Source organism: Homo sapiens, chromosome 18 (genome assembly GCF_000001405.40).
Source record: "Homo sapiens chromosome 18, GRCh38.p14 Primary Assembly".
Taxonomy (NCBI): domain Eukaryota; kingdom Metazoa; phylum Chordata; class Mammalia; order Primates; family Hominidae; genus Homo; species Homo sapiens.
Genome location: NC_000018.10, coordinates 34556144 through 34581263, shown reverse-complemented (window position 1 = coordinate 34581263; position 25120 = coordinate 34556144). Strand labels below are relative to the sequence as shown.

Below are 25120 nucleotides of genomic sequence, written 5' to 3'. Positions count from 1 at the left end.
TGTTTTGTTTTGTTTTGAGACCCAATCTCGCTCTGTCACCCAGGCTGGAGTGCAGTGGTGCGATCTCAGCTCACTGCAAGCTCCACCTCCCGGGTTCACGCCATTCTCCTGCCTCAGTCTCCCCAGCAGCTGGGATACAGGCGCACGCCACCACACCCGGCTAATTTTTTTTTTGTATTTTTAGTAGAGACAGGGTTTCACCGTGTTAGCCAGGATGGTCTCAATTTCCTGACCTCGTGATCCGCCTGCCTTGGCCTCCCAAAGTGCTGGGATTACAGGCGTGAGCCACCGCGCCCAGCCTTAACACACTTTCAACAGTTGCAAGTGGACAGGTACCACAGATTAGAATACTGAGGCCCCACAACCACAGAGAGAATCCATGCCTGCCTGTTAACTCCTTTCCACAGATCATCACTGAATATTTGGGGGTAGTTGATACAGGCTGGGGCAGGGCAAGAGAGTTGATGGAGATCCCCTCAAGGTGCAGAGGTCTTCATTCAGTGCACAGTAGCAGTTCTCCAGAAGTGAAGAGAGATATCCATATACCTGGAAAGCTTGGTGCTGGAGTGTAAAGAAGAAAGAGATCCTCCGTGGTCCAGAAACATTGGCAGGATGGCTTTAAGTACGCAGACATCTCTGAGGCAATGCTATTCTCAGTCTTCCTAAAGATAAATTTCTATTTCTTCCCCAAATACATCTAAAGCCAAGGACAAATCACACTAAAGCTATAGCAAAGCTTACATTCATATCTAATCATATTAGATTAATCCAGTCTCCCTGCATCCCCCCGACCCCACACACAGCCAAATAGAGAAAAGGATGAGCCATTTTATGGGAGTAAATATTATTTATTTCTGTGCTTTTACCCACTGACATACAATAAACAATTATAAAACACATGAAGAAGCTGAAAAATGTGACTATGAAATAAAAAATAAACATTAGAAGCAGACCCACAGATGGCTCAAATGTTGGATATAGCAGGCAGAGATTTGTTTAAAAATTATGATAGATATGTTAAAAAGATATAATGAAAAAGTGAGAAGCATGCATTAACATTGGGAAATTTCAATAGATATATGGGCATTATCAAAAAGAGCAAAACAGAAATGATAAAAATAAAAATTATGTATAATAAATGAAGGATTCATTCAGGGAGTTGAACAGCAGACTGAACCCAGCAGAAGAAAGGGTGGGTAATATTTGAGACATGTCAATAAAATCATCCAAACTGAAACACTAGAGAAAAAAAAAGAGTGAAGAAAATGGGACAGATATCCTGTGACTGTAACAAAATATCTAATGATCTAAGATATTTGTAATTGGAGCCTCAGAAAAGTAGCGGGGAGAAAATCAAGGAGAAGAAATACCTGAAAAGATGATAGGTGAACAATTTCCAAAACTGGTAAAAGATATCAACCCATGTATGAAGAAAGTTAAGTAAAACCCAAGCAAGAAAATTCAAAAACAAACAACTAAACAAACAAAACAAACTCCACCACCACCAACAACACGTTGAGGCATTTTGTGATTAAACTATTGAAAAACAAGGATAAAGGGTAAATCTTAAAAGCAGCCAGAGGAAAAAGACATTTCACACAGGCAACAACCTTAGGTATGATGTCTGAGTTTTCAACTAAAATATTGACTGCCTTAAGACGATGCAATATCTGCAAAGTATTGAAGGAAAGCAACTCTTAATCTAGAATTCTATGTTCAACAAATATATCTTTCAACATGAGGGTGAAATAAGATGAGAAAGGTTGAGAGTGTTTATTTTTAGCAAATACATACTATAAGAGACAAGGAAAGTTTTCAAGGTGAATTCTTGCTGAAAGCCTGAATCTACAAGGAGAACTGAAAATTATTAGAGTGGATAAATGACTAAATATCTGGATAAGTATAAAAGACCTTTTAAAAAATTACCATCTGTCTACCTACCTACATATCTATCATCATCTACCTACCTATCTATTCATATTTTAAAAACTTGTGACTGTTTAAAGCAAAAATAGTAACACATTTTGTGTCGTTACCTATAAGTAAATAAAATACATGACCAGAAGAAAGCAAAGGACAGCAAGTAAATAGAATTATACTTTTTAAAGGTTCTTACATGGTTATTTTTGTAATATTATTTAAAGGTAAACAATAATAAAGATGCATGTGTGCAATCTTAAGACACAACAACGAAAAATAAAAACACTCCATTGAGGTGTAGTAGAAAACATCAATGGAAGAGATAAAAAGAAATAATAAAATTTTTAATTAGCTCAAAGGAAAGCAAACAAATAAGGAACACAGGAACAAAAAACAGATGTGACAAATAGAATACAAATACTAAGATGGTAGACTTAAATCTAATGACGGTAAACATTACATTAAATGTAAAGGCCATGGTCACCAAAACAGCATGGTAGTGGTATAAAAATAGGCACATAGACCAATGGAACAGAATAGAGAACCCAGAAATAAACCCAAATACTTATAGCCAACTGATCGTTGACAAAGCAAACAAAAACATAAAGTGGGAAAAAGACACCCTATTTAACAAATGGTGCTGGGATAATTGGCAAGCCACATGTAGAAGAGTGAAACTAGATCCTCATCTCTCACCACGTATAAAAATCAACTCAAGATGGATCAAGGCCTTAAGTAAGATCTTAAACTATGCAAATGCTAGAAGATAACATCAAAAAAACCCTTCCAGACATTGTCTTAGGCAAGAATTTCACGACCAAGGACCCAAAAGCAAATGCAATAAAAACAAAGATAAGTAGGTGGGACTTAATTAAACTAAAGAGCTTTTGCATGGCAAAAGGAACAGTAAGCAGGCAGCCCACAGAGTGGGAAAAAAAAAATTCACAATGTATACATCTGACAAAGGTCTAATATCCAGAATCTACAATGAACTCAGACAAATCAACAAGAAAAAAACAAACAATCTCATCAAAAAGTAGGCTAAGGACATGAATAGACAATTATCAAAAGAAGATATACAAATGGCCAACAAACATATGTAAAAATGCTCAACATTACTGATGATTAGGGAAATGCAAATCAAAACCAAAATGCGATACCACCTTACTCCTGCAAGAATGGCCATAATAAAAAAATAAAAAAAAAACACATAGTAGATTATGGTGTGGATGCAGTGAAGAGGGAACACTTCTACACTGCTGGTGGGAATGTAAACTAGTACAACCACTATGGAAAACAGTGTGGACATTCCTTAAAGAACTAAAAGTACAGCTACCATTTGATCCAGCAATCCCACTACTGGGTATCTACCCAGAGGAAAAAAAGCCATTATACCAAAAAAAAAAAAAAAACTTGCACATGTATGTTTATAGCAGCACAATTTACAATTGCAAAAATGTGGAACCAATCCAAATGCCCATCAATCAACGAGTGGATAAAGAAACTGTGGTATGTCACACACACATATATTATACATATACACACAATGGAATACTACTCAGCCTTAAAAAGGAATGAATTAATGGCATTCGCAGTAACCTGGATGGGATGAGAGACTACTATTCTAAGTCAAGTAACTCAGGAATAGAAAACCAAACATCATATGTTCTCACTCATAAGTAAGACCTAAGCTATGAGGATGCAAAGGCATAAGAATGACACGATGGACTTTGGGGACTCACCAGGGAAGGGTGGAAAGAGGGTGAGGGATAAAAGACTACAAATGGGGTTCAGGTGATGGGTGCACCAAAATCTCACAAATCACTACTAAAGAACTTACTCATGTAACAGAATACCACCTGTTCCCCAAAAACCTATGGAAATAAAAAATTAAAAATAAATTTTGTAAATGGACTCAATATTCCATTATCAGACTGAATAAAAAACCAAGACCAAACTACATGCTGTTTATATAAAAAATGCTTTAAATATAAAAACACATATTGATTGAAAGTTTAAAAATGGTAAAAGATATACCATAAAAATATTTGTGTGCCTATGTAAGACACATTAGATATGTTAAACTTCAAGACAAAGTATTAATATGTTATCAGAGATAAAGAGAGACATTTCATGGTGACAAAGGGTCACTTCATCAGGAAGATATACAACTAAAAATAGGGCTTCCAAATACATACAGCTAAAATGAACAAAATTAAAGTGAGAATAGACAAACGCATAATCATTGTTTAAAGGCAAGCAGAAACCCTTTTGAGGCCCTTTATTTCAACACTCTTACACAAATACTATTTATTACTGACCCACAATAAACTGGGGTGGGGTGTGTTTTGGGAGAGAAGTTTTTGGGACCTTTCAAGGCAAGTTGTATCTCTAAGGCTGTAGCCTAGAAGTCTGATACAAAATGTGGGAGACTCAGAGCACAGTTTGCTGACCGCCAGCAAAGTTAGAATGTTCACACGCATGACAAGACATGGGCTGTTTGTCCCTTGCAGCCTCTAGGTGGAGTGAGTCATAAACAACCTCATTCATTTTCCCCGACTATCATACAAATATCACCAATTTACGGCTGGGCATGGTTGCTCATGCCTGCAATTCCAGCACTTCGGGAGGCTGAGGCAGGCAGATCACCTGAGGTTGGGAATTCGAGACCAGCCTGGGCAACATAGTGAAACCCCATCTTTACTACAAATATAAAAATTAGCCGGGCATGGCGGCATGTGCCTGTAATCTCAGCTAATTGGAAGGCTAAGCCAGGAGAATCACTTGAACCAGGGAGGAGGAGGTTGGAGTGATCACACCACTGCACTCCAGCCTGGGTGACAGAGTGAGATTCCATCTCAAAATAAATAAATAAATAAACAAACAAAACAAAGCAAAAACAAAAATATATCACAAACCAATTTATTTGTGTTCCATGATGAAACAAAGATGAGGAAAAATGTGTTCATACCCTTGATTCCCTCCCTGCAAGTTTGTCTTGATTGTCAATTGCTGACTTGGGATCTGAGTGGGATATTCTGGGTTCCTGGAAGACTACAGTGACCAATAGGACATTCTCAATCAGAGGCAGTTCTGTGGCAGTCACTTGTGTGACACAGGACATGCAATAGTCACACAGCTTTACCACTGGCTTATCCTGAAGGCTCCATGCAGCTCTGTGAGCATTATGCCTGCAGGTTTGAGCCCAGGATCAGGACTCTAGGATTTTCCCCAAAAGATGGTTCTATGGACAGCTCTCATTGGGTTTCACAGAACTAAAGCTTGCTTTATAAATGTAGGGAGAAAGAACATCATGGCATGTTTTCTGCTCCAGATGAAGAAAAACTTAAAATTTCTGACAGGCTCTGGCATTTTAAGAGAGGTCATTAAGCACTGGAAATGTCTTGGTTGAAGGCCAGACTTGAAATAAAGTTGTTTGAAATGCTGTCTGGAGACAGATATTTAAGAACTGATTAGTCCTACTCTTTATTGTGGTTAAAATAGACTTTCTAGGGGAAAATGGGGAAGAAAAATCTAACTATCCAGAAGAAGATGGCATGATGGTTGATGTTACACAAAGGCTATAATACAGTCATTTGAAGGATAAATCAGAATCCATCCAATCCCAAGTAGCTAAACCAGAATAATCTTGAAATTTATGTCAGAAAAGTAAAACACAGCTATAGATAGTATTAAAGAAAAATTTCGATGAAAAATCCAAACTTTAGGGAAATGGAAAATTACTTTTATACAAAGGTAAAGGAAGACTGAGTGGTCTTAATTTACATAGAAAAAAAGGAGGTTGAAATTTCAAGACCATGTTTGGAAAAAATTCTACATGAGAAGGAACATCAGATCTAGCATTTGACTGAATGTTTGTTGAAGATGACAGATTTGTTTGCTGTCCTTAGAGATGAAATGGACAGTGGTCACTAGGTGTTGGATATAGTAAGAGAGTCAGAAATAAGAGACAACTTAGATGAAGAGTTTTGAAGAATCACGTATAACATCAAGTAAAATCTTCCTTACAAACTCTTGAAAAAATAATCAAATATACAGTAAATTCACTAAAAGAAGCTTATGCATTATATTAAAATATTCCAAAGCAAGAGTGTATCAGAAAATGCAAAGATAGAAGATGAAGTTCAAAAGCTTGACAAGAAACGAGTGATGGAATTTTATCAAAATGAAACTTCAAAAGAAGTTCACCTTACAGGAAAGAGACTCTAGAAAGAGAGAAGAAATGTTTCACAGCAGATACAATATCAGCTATGCCTCTGAGGAGCCGGACACCTATAGAAAAGAATTATTTCTACGTTGTTGTACTATTTTAGTAAAAGCATTATATTATGACTTGTTCAACCAGACTACCATACATTAAGAAAAACAGGCATTTCTCATGAACAATAAAGTAACTAGAGATAATTGAAACTTGAAGAGGTATTTCTAGGCTTAGGCAGGAGGATCAATTGAGGCCAGGAAATAGAAAGATCTGGGCAAAACAGCAAGAACCCATGTCTACAAAAATAGTAATAAAAATAAAAATCAGCTGAGCATAGTGGCTTGTGCCTGTAGTCCCAGCTACTTGGGAGGTAGAGGTGGGAGGATCACTTGAGCCCAAGAGTTAGAAGATGCCTTGAGCTATGATCACATCATTACTGCATTCCAGCCTGGAAGACAGAGACTGTTAAAATAATAATAATAATAATAACAATAAAAACAGGTATTTCTGTTGGCTTCAAGCTGTTCTGCAGCTCTACCTTTCCAAAAACATGTGAGTGTGTGAAGTTCCTGGACGGCCCCAGCGATGCCTCCTGCAGGGTGTGGCCCAGACCATTGCTCACTGTGACTCTAAGAAGGACAAACACTTCTGGGGCATCATTGGGCTGAAGTCCACAACCCACTTCCACTCCTCTGTGTGTATCCTGGGGGCCAGCAGCACTGTGACAAGGCCAAGGTTGTGGAGTCCCCCGTATGGACCTGGAGGCACTGGAGAAACTCGACAAGAACAAGAGGCTGGCCAAGAGGTATGGTACCATTTGGCCTTGGAGTCTCAGATCAAGCAGATCCCATGGATCCTTGGCCCAGGCCTAAATAAGGCTGGCAAGTTCCCTTCCCTGCTGACACACAACGGGAATATGTTGGCCAAAGTTGATGAGGTGGGAGCCCACAATCAAGCTCCAGATGAAAAGGGGGCTATGTCTGGCCATGGCCATTGGCCCCCTAAAGATGGCAGATGATGAGCTTGTATGTAACATCCACTTCACTGTCAGCTTCCTGGTGTCGCTGCTCTAGAAGAACTGGCAGAATGTCCATACTTTAAACATGAAGAGCACCATGGGCAAGCCCCAGTGCTTGTGTGAAAGCACATTCTAATACATTTCAGTGCCACACACACACAAATGAGCGAAGAACCTTCCCTTATATGTAGAATCTAAAAGAGTGGAACTCGAGACTACAGACTGGAATGGTGGTTAGTTATTAGGGGCTGGATGGGTAGGGATTGGTCAAAGGATACGCAATTTTAGCTAGGCAGGAGGAATAAGTTCAAAAGATCCAGTGTACAACATGGTGGCTGTAGTTAGTAACAATGTATGATATTTTGAAAATCACAAAAATAGATTTTAAGTGTTCTCACCACAAAAAATGATACCTACATGAGGTAATGCATAGGTTAATTACCTCGATTGAGCCATTCCACAATATATACATACTGCAACGCATCATGTTGTACATGATAAATGTATACAATTTTAATTTTTCAATTAGAAGAATAAAAAAGAGCCTACCCTTTATCCAGTCCTTTACCCAGTCTCATGTCAATTAATGGTTATAGCATATAGAGTATGACAACATGTAGCCATGTGTAAACAAAATGAGGTAACAGGTGCCTATTGAGACTAATGCATGTTCTTCATAAGTTCCTTAGGAGAGATCTTAAAACGGGATTTTAGGCATTTGGATATATTGGTGGTAGCAGTGGCAGGAGAGGAGGGAAGCAGGAGAGGCTATAAAGTTTTGAGAGGCATTTTTGTTCCTAATATTTATTTAGGGCCCTAAAGTTGTGTTATGTGTGTAGCTTTCTGCTTTGCCCAGCAGACCTTTCTCATACAAAACTTTGGCTACTTAGCACAGACTTTTAAACACAGAGGAATAAAGGAATAAAGGAAAGCAGAAATATAGAAGCTAAACAGGAGTTGCCAGGTGCAAAGTTAATTGTATATGTGACATGGGAGCAGAGCAAAAGGGAAGGAACCCATGTTTACTGAGCACCTACTGTGTGCAAAGGAACCTTCTATATGTTATTCTACTTCATCCTTTTAAATCATGTGATTTAGAAATCATTATTTCTATTTTATGGATTAAGAAATGGGATGTCAGAGAGATTAAGTGACTTGCCCTGGGCTCAGGATTAATAAGTGAAAGTACATAAATTTGATCTTATATCTGTGTGATTCTTAAGCTTTACATTCTTTCTACTGTTTTCAGGAATAAAGAGGCCACTTTCCCAAAGCAGATGAACCACCTAGCTGTATTTCCTTGAATCTCAAAGACTTGGTTCTGTTCCACTGCAAGGTAAATACAGCAGGTGTGGGAGTTAGATGGAAGTGGGGGAGAACCTCCTAGGCACCTAATAGTAGAACTGGTGAGCCTATACCTAGATTAGACTCTGCAAAAGTCAAGAGGAAACGGGAACCTGATGGGAAGGCTGGGGAGACATAATATGGTTTATTTCATAAACTCACTTAAGTTTCTAAGAGTACGGGGTGCTAGAAGCCCTGAACTCACATTCCGCCTCTGCTGTGCCTTACAGTGAGTTACTTAATCTCTATAAATGTATTTTTTTAATTTGCAAAAAGATGATAATAATATTGGCCTCACCCAGTAGCTGTGGTGAATACTAAATGAGCTGCTATATGTAAAACACTTAGGAAAATTGGTTAGCACATAGCAAGCTCAATTAGAGTAACTATCATCATTATCATGGTTGACAGAAAATATATGAATCAGAGTATTCTCATTTAATACACATTTTCTACAACAGTGGAAAGTCTGAGAAAGGTAAGAAAAACAGCAGATTTGAATCACTTAGGGATAACAACGATTGGCCCAGTCAGACTGGGCCTGAATCAGAATCTCTAGGGCTGGGTTCTGAGCATCTGTTTATCTAAATCTGTTTATCCCAGATTCTAATGTGCAGCCAGGGTAGACAACTTTTACCATTCTACTCACATTTTTGTGTTTTTCTTCCCCAGTCTCTCTTGATTTTTTACATATATATTATGCATTAAGATAACTGACTGAATTTTGATATGATGTCAGGGCCTTGCACAAATGCATTTTATTTCACATGAGGTTGGTGACCCTGGACATTAGCAACAAGTTTTTATAATACAAAGAAAAATGAACGCTGTGTTGCCAAAATTAATGGAAGAAAATCTGATATGAAACTTAATTGTTTCTTGATACCTATTCAATTTAATTTTTATGGTGAATGTGTGTGTGGCCCAGGTAGTACCTACTTTTTGGAATGGGGTATGTTGAAAAAGCATCAGCTGTGCTAGAAAGCTTACAATGGCAGAACGGCCCTGAGCAGGACCCTTTGCAGAGAGTTAGAGACTAGGCATGATGTAATCCATTTCATTAATTTAAATTAAACAGGATAAAACTCTTGCTAACATCAAAGCAGCCACCAATTAAGAGCACCTCAAATCACAGGGCCAGTGCATGACTATTCAAGATTTTCTTTTTTTTTGTTTGTTTGTCAAGATGGAGTCTCTCTATGTTGCTCGGGCTGGTCTCAAACTCCTGGACTCTCAAGCCATCCTCCTGCTTCAGCCTCCCAAAGTGATGGGATTACAGGGGTGAGCCACCACACTCAGTCTGTTCAGAATATTTCATCTGAGTTTAGGGTGCGCCATTCATAAACTGAGTCAAGTCTCTTTTCCTGGGTGAGAACACCTGTAAGCACACAGTATGAGAGTTGGCAAAATGGAAGAGTATCTACAGTGTTTCTGATAGTGGTTTTCAGCCCTGGAAACATTTTAGAAATACTGATGAGACTTAAAGTTAAATATGGAGGACTGTGCCTCTTACTCAGAACTTTTCATATAACTGATCATAAGTGGGGTACAGACTTGGGTGCTTTTGCTCTGTAGTTAGAGTTGAGAACTGCTGATGTATCAGAAAGAACATAAACTTTGTAGCCAGTCAATATAGGCTTGAATTTTTTGCTGTTCTGTTGGCTTGATGTGAGGAACTTAACCGAACCTCAGTGTCCTTATCTGTGAAAAGAATGTAACACTATATACCTTACAAAGGCTATTATGGAGACAAGTGGCAATGAATGCAAAGCACTTAGTACTGTGCCTGATACATGGTAAATACTCAGAGGTGCTTACAAAGTACCTCATAGCTTTCTTTTCAGTACTTCTTTCTCCTCTTTAGGTATCCTTCACTCCTCCCCTGGAGCCCACTCAAAGCTTCCAACCTGGTATCCCCATGTAGCTCTGCCTTACATAGAGGTACCCAAAATTTTTAAACTTCCTCAACAACTTCCCCACTTTAACTGCATCTAGTGCAAGGATTTGTGACCTCTGGAATTACCCGCAGGTCTTTAAAAACTGCTGATGTCTGATCCTACCACCAGTATTTTGTGATTTATAACCCTTGTTGCTAGTATAATTTCTCCAGATACAGCAATGCAAATCTGTGCAAATTCTTCAGAATGTGGTTTTTAAAAAAATCTTTGGAATAAAAGTGAAGTATTCAGGGACAAGGAAAAATACAGAGTAAACATTTGGTAAGTCACACTTCCATTATTTCTGTAGTAAGCATTTACTGAGCTCTTAATTTGTGCTAGATGTTAGGTATAAAAAAGTAATTAAGACTCTGTCCCTGCTTTCAAAGAGTTCACAATGTAGTAAAACTGATAGAAAATAAATGCAACTTATTACCTCATAGGTATAAAAAAGTAATTAAGACTCTGTCGCTGCTTTCAGAGAGTAGTAAAACTGATAGAAAATAAATGCAACTTATTACCTCATTTATCCATCACTTTTATTGAGTGCCTACAATGCACCTGGGGACATTTTAGGTGTTGGAGATACAGATGTGAACGAAAAAACTCCCTAAATGACTATACTCAGTGGCTTAGATTTTGGTGGGGGGAATTAAAGAAAGATGTTTTTATGACAGAAGTAAACACAGGGTAGTTTGGCAATTTAGTTCAAAAAGGCAAACTCCCACCTAGGGAAAGGTTTACAGGAAGGTCTCCTTGAGAGAAGACAGGACAACTGATTTTTGAAGAACAAGGAGTTAGCCTGGCAGCTAATGGAACGTATGTGTCATATGGTTAATTTTATGTATCAACTTGGCTGGGCCATGGGTCAAACATTAGTCTGAATGTTTCTGTGATATTATTATTATTATTTTGTGTGTGTGTGTGTGTGTGTGTATGTGTGTATGTGTATGAAATTAACATTTAAATCAGTAGCCTTTGTGTAAAGCAGACTGGTCTCCATAATGTGAGTGGGCCTCATCCCATCAGCTAAAGGCCTTAATAGAACAAAGATTGACTTCCCCCAACCAAGAAGGAATTCAGCAGGAGACAGCCTTCAGATGTGCACTGCAATATCAACTTTTTCTGAGTCTCCAGACTGCTGTCCCACTCTGTAGATTTTTGACTTGTCAACCTCCATAGTCACATGAGCCAATTCCCTAAAATAAATAGTTCTATATATGCACATCCTATTGGCTCTGTTTCTCTGTAGAATCCTGACTAATGCAGTATGCATTTGAGTTAGATGAATCCTTTCTGGTTCTTCTCAAGACTCAGTCCCACCCCTTGCTTTTTTTTTCTCACTATCACCAAGAAATAGATGTCATCCAACATGATCACTTTCAACTCTGTTTCCATTTACCTCAAAAGTTCCCCTTATCTTTATTGGTTCACTCCTCCTTTTCTGTTTAAGAGGAAAAGTACTCCCTTTCCTTCCTAAGGCTAATCTTCCACCTGTGCTTCAGGTCCTTCTCAGACAATCTGTTGCGAGTTTGGTCTAATAATGATCTCCTCTCTCACATCTGCAACCTCTCCTCCTTTCCTTTCCCTTACGATTCACTCAAGCCTTCTCCTGTACACACATTTCTACACACAAAAATGTCTGGGTGTGTACATTCATGAACATGACTGAGTCTCTAGATGGGCTGAATCCAATGAGCTCAGATCCAGCCAGGCCATTTCACAGAAGGTAGGGGCACAATTTACTTGACTTTGCATTTCTGGCCTCCTGTTAAGGGTCAAAGTTTTGTGCTGGAAATACCATGGATTCAGCATAGTAACATGGGTTTCCTCAGATGTTCAAGAGTCTTGATTGACAGTCATGAATATATTTGATTAGTTAATTATCACTTAATAAATGAGAAATGGGCCAGGTGTGGCGGCTCATGTCTGTAATCCCAGCACTTTGGGAGACCAAGGCAGGCGGATCACCTGAGGTTGAGACCAGCCTGGCCAACATAGTGAAACCCCATCTCTACTATAAATACAAAAATTAGCCAGGCATGGTGGTACGTGCCTGTACTCCCAGCTATTCAGGAGGCTGAGTCAGGAGAATCACTTGAACCTGGGAGGCAGAGGTTGCAATGAGCCAAGATCGTGCCACTGCACTCCGGCTTGGGTGACAGAGAGAAACTCTGCCTCAAAAAAATTAAATAAATGAAAATAAAAAAATTATAAATGCTTTAGGGATAAATTTTCAAAAGGAGTAATAATAAATTGAGACTTTTATGATTATGCATGAGGAAACTGTAGGAAAGTAAAAAGACAACAGAGAAGGAGGATAGAGGATAGAAAATATGGAGATAAAATGAAGATGAGTGGCAGATGGGAAATTGTAGGGAATGAGATAAACCCTGAACAGAAGTGCCAGGAACTCACGTTACCTAAGATCTTATCTTTTTCTTTATGAAATAACATGATTTACAACCAAAAGCCAGTAAAAATCTCTCTCAAATTTTTAACGCCAGAATGCCTTGACAAATCATATCACTGCACAAACACACACATATACACAGTGGTGTAGAGTGGTTTGAGGCTACATTGTGCTGAGTTATTGGCAGAATAAAATGGCTTGACTTATCATAGATAAACTATGAAATCCCATATTTCATTTTTTTCTTGGCCTTATTTTTATAAAATTACCCTTCATCTAGTGTGAACAACAAAGACTCAGATTCATACTGAATATGTCTCATTTCCCAATCTATTGCTCAGAGTATTCCTATTTCTATAGAAACAATATTCATTTTTTTTCTAAAATTTCAAAGAGCATTCTCTCCATAAAGCAATATTCATGTAAGAAAACCGCATAATTGCAACATGCAGGAAAATAACATAAAATTGTATTTTTAAAAACCCGGCAGAATAACATACTTGATAGTGACATTAAAAGTAGGGCAAGGATAAAAGCTTTACAGAGACCAAAATTTTCTCTCGGGTGAAAGGCTTATTAAATTCTAATTAGTTACATATATGTGTTTTGTGAATATAAAAGAGTAGAAAATATACACTATTGAATTTTTCTAAGATGTGCTGAAGTCTTGGAGTTATTTCTTAATTGAATTTGATGTCAAAATAGCAGTTAGGTAAAATTTTTTTTTAAGATCTATAACATTGCATGGTTTAACCCTAAGACAAAAGCTGTTGACCTGTTGATTGATGTTAGTTCTAAGTTTATAGGTTATCAGTTATTATAAGTGACATAAAATTATATAATCAGATTTTGTATATGCTTCAACTTAAAAATTTCTTATCAATCTGTATACTTTTAAATTCTGATTTATTAAGTCTAACACAAAGTATTTATAAAACAAAATTTTAAATGACTTCCTTCATAATCTCATTTAAATTCTTAAATTCCCAATCTAAAAATATCATAACAGCCAAAAAGTTGATTTTTAAATAACATCATTTATTTCACCTAATTTTAAAGCTCAACTTTTTAAGGTAACGAATAGTAAATCCACTTTAAGTTTTTAAAATAAACATACTTACCATAATCTCAGTTCATAAAGCTAAGAAAAGGATTAAAAGCTTATTGATTGTTAACAATTAAAATAAAGACATCTAAAATGCCCAAATTTACCATCCTTAAATTAAAAAAATGTTAGTTGACGCAAGCACGCTTGAACATAGTTACCATTGTGACTAATTCAAAAATTTTGTGGGGGAATATCAAGTGGTCAAAAGAAACCTCAGGGTTCAACCACTCCTTAACATGGAATTGAAAAGGCAAAATTGATGGTATATTGACGACATACCATGGAATGATTTATTCAGTGTCTTTCCAACAGTTGAGATTACAGCGATCCGGGTATTTCAGTTATTAACCTTAAAAAACCTAAATGCACTTAACAACAGATGTCATTGCAGAGAAAAAAGGTGATGATGGCTTCAAAGTATAATGCAGTTTTAAATCTCTATGGTGTATAAACATTAAGGCTCCTTTTATTCTCAAGATCTTTCACACTACTGATCAGGAAGGTCTCTGATCTACTTTATGTAGGCCTGACTGATGTTTCATAGTGGATTCAGTAGGATCCCTGGAGAACATGCTTTTACATGGAAGATCAGAGTTAGAATTACAGTTTGGAAACTGGATTCTCCCACTGTGAATATAATAAGATGTCCTGCAACGAGAAGAGAGGTTACAAGTAGACGACTCCAGCACAGCGGCTCTAACAATCTGTGGCAACTTGCACAGTCTGTCTCATATTTCAAAGAAGACAGGTCACAGACATGTGTCCTCACACAGAATTTTTGAAGAACTTTCTCTGAAACATGTGCATTGGGTGTTATGAAGGGAAGGCCATGTATTGGTTTAATTTCTTTGTCCATTAGGTAAAAAAATTCTAGATGTTTGTCAAACTTTCTACCATTTTTAATCCATGAAAAATTGGACTTTTAACTTCTGAAACTGTGTATATCAAAGTTCCCAAATGCAGGTTTCATACTACTTAATCAGCTTAACCTAATCTGACACCTTCCTTTTTTTTTTTTTAAAGATTAATTTCTCTCTTCTCTCCTATGCCACCCTTCTCTGCTGGTTTCCCTATTGTTTTTCCACAAACTCCTTCTCAGCCTCATCTTCAGAATTTCTCAAGGATGGACATTACTTGGTCATTGCTTTACTCTTTTCGCTTCTCACACAGCTTGCATTGGCAATCTTGTCCATTCTTCTGTCCAACCCAGGACTTTCTCCTGATTACTAGACTTATGTCCACCTGCTAGTGGCCATTTTCATTGAGTGTATTTCATTAATATTCCCACAGTCACTGAGTGCTTGCTATTTGCCAGGCATTTTGGTGTCAATGGGAAAGACTTGCACATCTCACATTGTCTATGCCTAAGATACCTCACTATGTGTTTTCCCTCTCTCCTCAAACCCGATCTGCAATGGAGGTGTCACCTACTCTAGGTGGCTGTAGCAGGTTGAATGCTGGTCTCCAAAAGATAAGTCCATCCAATACCTGTGGATATTACAGTATTTGGGAAAAGAGTCTTTATAGACATAATTAAGTTAGATCTTGGGATGAAATCATCCTGCATTAAGGTGGGCTCTAAATCCAAGGATACAGGTTCTTAATAAGAGAGACAGAAGAGAAGACAGAGAGACACAAAGAAAGTCATGTAGAGGAAGGCAGAGATTGGAATTATTTTGCCACAAGCCAAAGAATGCTCTGGGCCATCAGAAGCTAGAAGAGGCAAGGGAGGAACCACCCACTTAGCCTGCAGAGGAAGGTGTGGCCTTGCTGGGGCTTTGATTTTGGACTTCTAGCCTCCTGACCGTGGCAAAATAAATGTCTGTTTTTTCAAGCCATCAAGTTTCTGTTAATTTGTTACAACAGCCCTAGGAAGCCAATACAGTACCCTTTCTAAATTTCCCCCTGCCCAAGGGCCCAGTTTTCTCCTTAAGCAGATTCTTAACTGTCTATTATTCCTCTTCCCTGTTAAAACTATCACTCTTTGAAAGCAAGACTCTGAATTTCTTCTCTATTTTTAATAACTGATACTTGGCACATAGTAGAAGTGCTGAAAGAATGAAATAGGGATTTGTTTGTATGTTTGTTTTACTGGCTAGAGAAATAGCATAAATCTACATATAATAAAGGCAGATCTCTCAAGTCATTTAAATTATTTTAGCACAGTTGTATTCTTATTAAATGTTTCTTTTCATTTGTATGACTTTTAAAAATGCCTACTTACATATTACAATATAGATGCTTTGCTAAGCTGTTTGGGAAAAAATAGCAAAGTCACTCAGAACTATTACTATAAGGTAGAGTGCATGCAAATTAATTTTATTAAGGCAGGATTCCTAAATATATCACTCATAATTACATATGTTTTATTTTTAAGACATAAAAGCTTTGCTTGGTAAATCTCCATTCTTTATCTTAAGTCTACAGCAGGCAGCCACACACATGCATGCACTCACGCCCACACTCCAATTAACCCTGTCTATGGAGGGTCAGTGCATTCATGACACAATTGAAACAGCAACAGAAGGAGGCACAGATACACTTAATAGTATTACTTATTTGCAAATAAAATAGCCAAATGGTCTAATTAAAGGCTTGGTATGTATTTGAACAAATGAGTATAAAGCAGCTTAAGAAACACAATACACCTCAACTTAAAATTTTATTGAAAGACAGACGAATGGGAGATAATATGCATAATTTCTAACTAAAAATACACAAATGCTTTATTTCTCCACAATGAAAAGGGCTTTGTATTTAATATGCTCCCAGTAGAGTTTCTTTTTCCCCAACAATAAATAAGACTATGACTTTCCCAGTTGAACTTAGACTCTTCAAAGATCCTTCAAAAGTGTGGGGGCCAGGTGCTGTGGCTCACGCCTGTAATCCCAGCACTTTGGGAGGCAGAGGCGGGCGGATCACTTGAGGTCAGGAATTCGAGACCAGCCTGGCCAAGATGGTGAAACCCTGTCTCTACTAAAAATACAAAAAAGTAGCTGGACGTAGTGGCGCGTGCCTGTAATCCCAGCTACTGGGGAGGCTGAGGCAGGAGAATCACTTTAACCCAGAAGGTGAAAGTTTCAGTGAGCCAAGATTGAGCCACTGCACTCCAGCCTAGGTGATAGAGGGAGACTCCATCTCAAAAAAAAAAAGGAAGTACGGACATGTTGGTCGAAGGGCACAAACTTGCAATTATACGATAAAAGCCTTCCGCCTTCTGCCTTCTGGAGACCTAATGTACAGCATAGTGACTGTAGTTAATAATAATGTAGTGTATACTTGAAACTTGCTAAGAGAGTAGATCTCAACCATCCTCACTACACACACACACACATACGAAAGCAACTGTGTGAGGTGATGGATATGAATATCCTTAAACTGATGAGGAAGTGTAAGGATAGAATGAACTGGAATTATTACAACAACCTTTTCTTAGTTGGGGGTTCTTGCAGAAACATAACCATAATTTATATTTGAAAAACAGGGGAATTTCTCCCCCGCCCCACATTTTCTGAATGTAGTTTAGTGTCTCTAAATTTTGGTGGATTTAAGGCAACTTCAGTGGAGAGTAATATCACTTTGTACACCTTGAATAATACAATTTTAATTTGTCAGTTATAACTCAATGAAACTTAAAACCAACAAACAAATGTGTGGGGTGGATATAGCAGAAGAGGAAGGAGGAACTGATGAGGTGGGAAGGATGAGAGCATATTTCTTTACAAAGCACATTTTAATGAGAAGGTCTTTATAGACTAAGAGCAAGGCAAAGAATACTCTTAAAACATAAACCCTACAAAGCCCTCTGTTAGTTTCCCCAGGCTTCCATAACAATTAAGCAAAAACTGGTTGGCTTTAAACAACAGAAATTTATTCCATAATAGTTTAGGAGGTCAGAAATCCAAAATCAAGATGTCAGCAGGGTTGGTTCCTTCTGAAAGCCCTGGAAGAGAAACTGTTCATGTCTCTCTCCTAGCCAAGGTGGATGGCAGCAATCCTTGACATTCCTTGGCTTGTGGCAGCCTAACTCCAATGTCTGCCTTCATCTTCACACAACCTTCTTCCATGTATGCCTCTCTAAATGACCTTCCCAGTAGGGAACCAGGGATTGAATTTAGGGCCCACTCTAATCCAGTATGACCTCATCCTAACTGTTATACCTGCAAAAACCCTCTTTCTAGCTAAGGTCACATTGGGTAGTTCCACGTGAAACTGCCACTGGGAACATTTTGGAGGAAGCTAGTCAATCCAGTACAAGCTCTCAGTCTTTGAAGTTCTCAAATTCACGCCGTAACTCATTAGGTAAATTCTCCACAGTCAAAAGTTTTCAGGGACAACTTTTCCTAATTTGCAATTTGTCCAAAGGTACAGTACCTCATTACATCGTTTTTCCCTGCATTTAAACAATAAATTTGGAGAAGATCTTTAAGGATAGCATAGAATTATCTGTGCACTCTCTAATGGGTGATTAACGTGATTGTCATGATAACTATTCCCTAAATCAGTAGTCCTCTAACTTTAGTGTTCTTCACAATCACCAGGAGGCTTGTTAAAATACAGATTTGCTGGGCCTCACCCTCAGAGTTAGATATTTGTGTATCTAACAAGCCCCTGGTGATGCTGATGTGGATGCCCAGGGGATCACACTTTGAGTACTGCCCTAAGTGATCATCAGGTAAGAGTCCCTATTACTTGCAGGGAGAAAAATCTTTTCTCTCATTATCAAGTTCCCTTCTGCCAATGTTATGAATGGCAGAGAAAAGTAGAATGCTGCATGGTAAAGAAAAAAAAGGAAGGAGATGCCACTTCCGGTGGCATCATATCTCTATTATTAACTTCTGACTGAGGACGAAGTCTAAGAATAGAACAAAGTGGAATGATTACACCAACCTTTTCTTAGTTTAAGGTTGCGCAGAACTATAGTTCATACTCAAATAACGGGAAGTTCTTTATCCCCCATATTTTGTGTGTCTCTAAATTTTGGTGGATTTAAAGCAACTTCAATGGAGAGTAATAAATGTGAAACTAGGGGCAGGGTTCGTTTTTTAAAATTTATTTAAAGATGTATGTGTGTGTATTTATGTGTATGTATTCTTTTAAAGGAGATTTTTAGTTAACTTGATTGTTGTTGTACGGTTTTATTATAAGAAACAGTTTGGAATACATAAATGTCCTTTGACAGTAAAGCAACAGTTAATGGCTCCAAACTTATTTTACAGAAAACACCACATAACTTTACCACAGTCTCTAGTATGTGGAAAAAAAGGAAATGAGTTTAATACTCTTAAATACAAACAAAGATAACTTGGAGAGTGGAAAGAAAAAAATGCAATCACTTAACTGGATTAAAATGTATTCTCTAATAATTGCCATGGTACAACATTCTCACTTTCCGTCGGCACAAGTATAAGTAGATAAAAGTAGTTTCAAAAATGAAATTTATTACTAAATCAATAAAAATCACAATATTCAATAAAACTGTCAATAAATGAAGGATTATGCCAGGATGTTGCTATAGCATCCATTTATAACCTTTTTCTCTAACGTAGTAAGCACATGCAGCAAAATGTTAATACTTTTTCTATAAATTATGAGGTACGATAAAAATTGATTATTCCCTATACTGTTCAATCACTGATTTGTAAAGAAGACAAGCAAATAAGGCCATTAAATAGCATTATTTCACTATTATTGAAATAATAATGAGCCACCATGCCCAACCTGTTATTCATTATTATTGAAATAATGCTATTTCAATAGCATTGTAAGAAAGCCACTACTTTTTTTCAACTCAACTGTGATGTTGAGAAGGCAGCAAATATCAAATATATAACTTAGAAGAGTTAAACAAGTTATTTCACCAGTACTTCAAAAGTCTAACAGTATAATCTTTCACTACAGCACGTGTTTTAAAACACATGAAAAAATATCCTGAGAGAGTAGTGATTTCAGTACTGAGAAGTTCTGTAAAATTCTTAAGGCTCCCAATGATAGTATTATAAATTTCATCTCGATCCTTCTTTAAAATGTTAGGAAGATGGAGTATTTTTAGGGGAACCTATTTTATCTTTGAAAGAAAGTGATGCTAAAATCCGTTGTCACAGTCATGTTTGTTGTAGTATATAGTTGTAAAGTTGTTGCCACATCTTGAAAAAAATAGGACTTTTTTCTTTTCTGGTAAAGCTATCCTCTTCACTATCAAATGCCATCTCATAATGATCACATTTATTGTGCAGATTATAATTAACATTCAATTTAAATAGATCAAAAATGAAAATATAGAACTTAATATGTTAAACCAAATAATTTCAGATTCTTTTGATTCAATGTCAATATTTAATGGAAAGAAATCAAGAAACGTTATTCAAATTTTATTTTTTGAGACAGGGTCTCCCTCTGTCACCCAGGCTGGAGTGCAGTGGCATGATCTCGGCTCACTGCAACCTCCATATCTTGGGCTGAAGCGATTTTCATGCCTCAGCCTCTCAAGTAGCTGGGACTAATAGGCACACGCCACTATGCCTGGCTAATTGCGTGTGTGTGCGTGTGTGTATTTTTTGTAGAGATAGGGTTTCAGTATGTTGCCCAGGCTGGTCTCCAATTCCTGAGCTCAAGCTATCCATCCTCCTCAGCCTCCCAAAGTGCTGGGATTACAGGAGTGAGCCATAGCGCCCAACCTCTTATTCAAATTTTAAATTGCTATAGATTCTCTATAACTACCATGAAAAACTAAGATGCATCATATGTTCAGAATATTTACTGGAAACAAAACTCATCTCAATGAACATCAAAATAATTGAGTAAACTATGTGTAGGCTTATTTCAATTACTTATGATAACACTGGAGTACATTACTTTAAAAGGCATTCTAAGTTACAAGTATCTTTATGACCTTAGAATTTGTAACTTTCTCATTACTTACTTATTTGGTTAAATAATATATTTGTTTTGAAATTGTGTCATTCAATTATTCAACAAATATTTGTAGCACCCAGCTATGTTCCTGGCATTATGGTACATATTGTGAATATAAGGAAAATGAAAATACAGTTCCTGCTCTCAAGGAGTTTGTGGTCTGCTACAGAAGACATATCTAAAATGAAAATCAACACAGCTGAGGTGCAAAAAGGTATCTAACCCAGAGAGGATGATTAGGGAAAGTTTACAGGGTGAGATCACTTAAAACCTCAGCCCAGAAAGATAAATAGGAGTTTGTCAGGCCAAGCATGGTAGTATGGGAAAGGAAGGCATTTCAAATAAAGGGAAAAGTCTATATGGGAAAGGGTATGTATGAAAAAGAACAAGGTGAAATTACAGAATCTCTAGTGGTTTATTAAGGTCAGCACAACCTAGTTTACAATCATAATAATTCTAAAACAGGAAGTAATATATTTCAAGCACTTCATAATTTGTGTTTTCCTATACATATTTTGTGGTACAATGTATAGGATGACAGAGGAGATGCAACATTAATTCCAGCTTACTAGTAAAGAAATGGATGGCATAAGAGTAAAAGGAAGTCTAGTTCTGAGACTGTGTTTACTAAAGACCTCTGGAAACTGGCTTTCCTTAGTTCTGATTTCAGGAGGAACTACAGTAAGGGAAAGAGAGGATGCAACCTTTACTTCTGTTTCAGTTGAACATGGCCAACAGTAGATTTAAAGCTCTTCATTATATGAGCCTTGGTGAATGAAGGAAATTGATAATTATACCAAAGAGTGAAACCAGGCACTTATTTCCTTTTGAATTTCCTGTCCAGAACAGCAGCGTGTTCTCTTCGTAGTATTAGACATAACATTTAATCCTTATCCCACATCTACAAAATGAGGATATAACACTCATTTGTGCACTAAGCACAGCTTTCATATTTCAATTAAGAAATAAAAAAGGTTGCACACATTTAAACGCCCATTCAGTATTTTTGGAATACTTTAATTCTCTATTCATTTTTCCCCCCACTTATCCACAGAACTTGATTCAGTTGCTCACCCTGGCGAAATTGCAATGTAAGAAAGCAATTAAACAACTGTGAGTTTTGAATTTTAAATAACTTTGAAACAATTAGTTTATTTCCTTTTAGAACTATTTCTAATTACTTTTTTATAATATGCCCTAATTATCTTTACTTTCTCTTCATCCTATCTACCTTCCTAGAGTCAAGTAGGGAAATCAGGCATTATGGGTATCATGTATGTATTATTGTTACTAGAACTTAGTTATCAAATAATGTTTTGAGTTAAATCTCACCACACAGCTTGCTTCTACTGGTGAAACTGTTGCCATGTTCCAATGGACAGTACTCTTAATCAACCAACATTAAGAGTGGCCATGTGTAACAAGCATATGCAGTTTGTCACAGGCAAAGTCTGTCAACCATCTCCATCAATAGTCTCATTCTGGCTATCTTAGTACTGGCCTCATCTCTTAGCATTGCTTCCTCCTTCCCTAAGCTCCAGCCACATCAGTCTCCTGTTGTTCCTCAATAACAGCACATACATTTCAGTCTCAGAATATTTGTCCTTAGTCTTCCCTTTGCTTCCCCTAGATATCTGCTTGGGCTGGCTCTCAATTTCATTAAGATCCCTGCTCAAATACCACTGTATGACAAAGAGACCTTTCTGGACCATTGAATGTAAAAAATTCTTCACTTTCCTATTCCCAGCCTACTCCAATCACTTTCTCTTCTCTTCAACGGCTTTATTTTTTATTTGCATCACATAATATATTATGCATTCATTTCATATTTGTGTATTATTTTCCCTCCAGTAGAATGTACACTCCATAAGGGCAGTAACGTATTTTTGTTTATGGCTGTATTACTGACAACTAGAATAGTGTCTGACACACAACAGGCACTTGGTAAATAATAGTTGAATTAATCAATGAATTAAAAATAAGCAAACTAGGGGGGAAGAGCCAAGATGGCCGAATAGGAACAGCTCCAGTCTACAGCTCCCAGGGTGAGCGACGCAGAAGACGGGTGATTTCTGCATTTCCATCTGAGGTACCAGGTTCATCTCACTAGGGAGTGCCAGACAGTGGGCGCAAGTCAGTGGGTGCGCACACCGTGCGTGAGCCGAAGCAAGGCAAGGCATTGCCTCACTTGGGAAGCGCAAGGGGTCAGGGAGTTCCCTTTCCGAGTCAAAGAAAGGGGTGACAGACTCACCTGGAAAATCGGGTCACTCCCACCAGAATATTGCGCTTCTCGGACCAGCTTTAAAAACGGCACACCATGAGATTATATCCCGCACCTGGCTCGGAGGGTCCTACGCCCACGGAGTCTCGCTGATTGCTAGCACAGCAGTCTGAGATCAAACTGCAAGGCGGCAGCGAGGCTGGGGGAGGGGCGCCCGCCATTGCCCAGGCTTGATTAGGTAAACAAAGCAGCCGGGAAGCTAGAACTGGGTGGAGCCCACCACAGCTCAAGGAGGCCTGCCTGCCTCTGTAGGCTCCACCTCTGGGGGCAGGGCACAGACAAACAAAAAGGCAGCAGTAACCTCTGCAGACTTAAATGTCCCTGTCTGACAGCTTTGAAGAGGGCAGTGGTTCTCCCAGCACGTAGCTGGAAATCTGAGAACAGGCAGACTGCCTCCTCAAGTGGGTCCCTGACCCCTGACCCCCGAGCAGCCTAACTGGGAGGCACCCCCCCAGCAGGGGCACACTGACACCTCACACGGCAGGGTATTCCAACAGACCTGCAGCTGAGGGTCCTGTCTGTTAGAAGGAAAACTAACAAACAGAAAGGACATCCACACCAAAAACCCATCTGTACATCACCATCATCAAAGACCAAAAGTAGATAAAACCACAAAGATGGGGAAAAAACAGAACAGAAAAACGGGAAACTCTGAAACGCAGAGCGCCTCTCCTCCTCCAAAGGAACGCAGTTCCTCACCAGCAATGGAACAAAGCTGGATGGAGAATGACTTTGACGAGCTGAGAGAAGAAGGCTTCAGACGATCAAATTACTCTGAGCTACAGGAGGACATTCAAACCAAAGGCAAAGAAGTTGAAAACTTTGAAAAAAATTTAGAAGAATGTATAACTAGAATAACCAATACAGAGAAGTGCTTAAAGGAGCTGATGGAGCTGAAAACCAAGGCTCGAGAACTACGTGAAGAATGCAGAAGCCTCAGGAGCCAATGCGATCAACTGGAAGAAAGGGTATCAGCAATGGAAGATGAAATGAATGAAATGAAGCGAGAAGGGAAGTTTAGAGAAAAAAGAATAAGAAATGAGCAAAGCCTCCAAGAAATATGGGACTATGTGAAAAGACCAAATCTACGTCTGATTGGTGTACCTGAAAGTGATGGGGAGAATGGAACCAAGTTGGAAAACACTCTGCAGGATATCATCCAGGAGAACTTCCCCAATCTAGCAAGGCAGGCCAATGTTCAGATTCAGGAAATACAGAAAATGCCACAAAGATACTCCTCGAGAAGAGCAACTCCAAGACACATAATTGTCAGATTCACCAAAGTTGAAATGAAGGAAAAAATGTTAAGGGCAGCCAGAGAGAAAGGTTGGGTTACCCTCAAAGGGAAGCCCATCAGACTAACAGTGGATCTCTCGGCAGAAACCCTACAAGCCAGAAGAGAGTGGGGGCCGATATTCAACATTCTTAAAGAAAAGAATTTTCAACCCAGAATTTCATATCCAGCCAAACTAAGCTTCATAAGTGAAGGAGAAATAAAATACTTTATAGACAAGCAAATGCTGACAGATTTTGTCACCACCAGGCCTGCCCTAAAAGCGCTCCTGAAGGAAGCACTAAACATGGAAAGGAACAACCGGTACCAGCCGCTGCAAAATCATGCCAAAATGTAAAGACCATCGAGACTAGGAAGAAACTGCATCAACTAACGAGCAAAATCACCAGCTAACATCATAATGACAGGATCAAATTCACACATAACAATATTAACTTTAAATGTAAATGGACTAAATGTGCCAATTAAAAGACACAGACTGGCAAATTGGAGAAAGAGTCAAGACCCATCAGTGTGCTGTATTCAGGAAACCCATCTCACGTGCAGAGACACACATACGCTCAAAATAAAAGGATGGAGGAAGATCTACCAAGCAAATGGAAAACAAAAAAAGGCAGGGGTTGCAATCCTAGTCTCTGATAAAACAGACCTTAAACCAACAAAGATCA

At 38.2% G+C, this 25120-nt stretch overlaps 1 protein-coding gene and 1 pseudogene across 31 annotated transcripts in view, besides 1 other annotated feature; one reads left to right on the top strand and one right to left on the bottom strand.

Moving 5' to 3' along the window:
• Positions 1-25120, bottom strand: part of DTNA (dystrobrevin alpha) — a 398533-nt gene that overhangs the window by 310581 nt on the left and 62832 nt on the right. The window lies entirely within an intron of this gene.
• RPL10AP13 (ribosomal protein L10a pseudogene 13) lies at positions 6765-7278 on the top strand (annotated as a pseudogene).
• Positions 18133-18728: an enhancer, noted in NCBI's record as "NANOG hESC enhancer chr18:32142500-32143095 (GRCh37/hg19 assembly coordinates)". NCBI's record gives its function as "activates a minimal SCP1, AML or CMV promoter by ChIP-STARR-seq in primed H9 embryonic stem cells {active_cell/tissue: H9 hESC(primed)}" and the evidence as "EXISTENCE:reporter gene assay evidence [ECO:0000049][PMID:30033119]".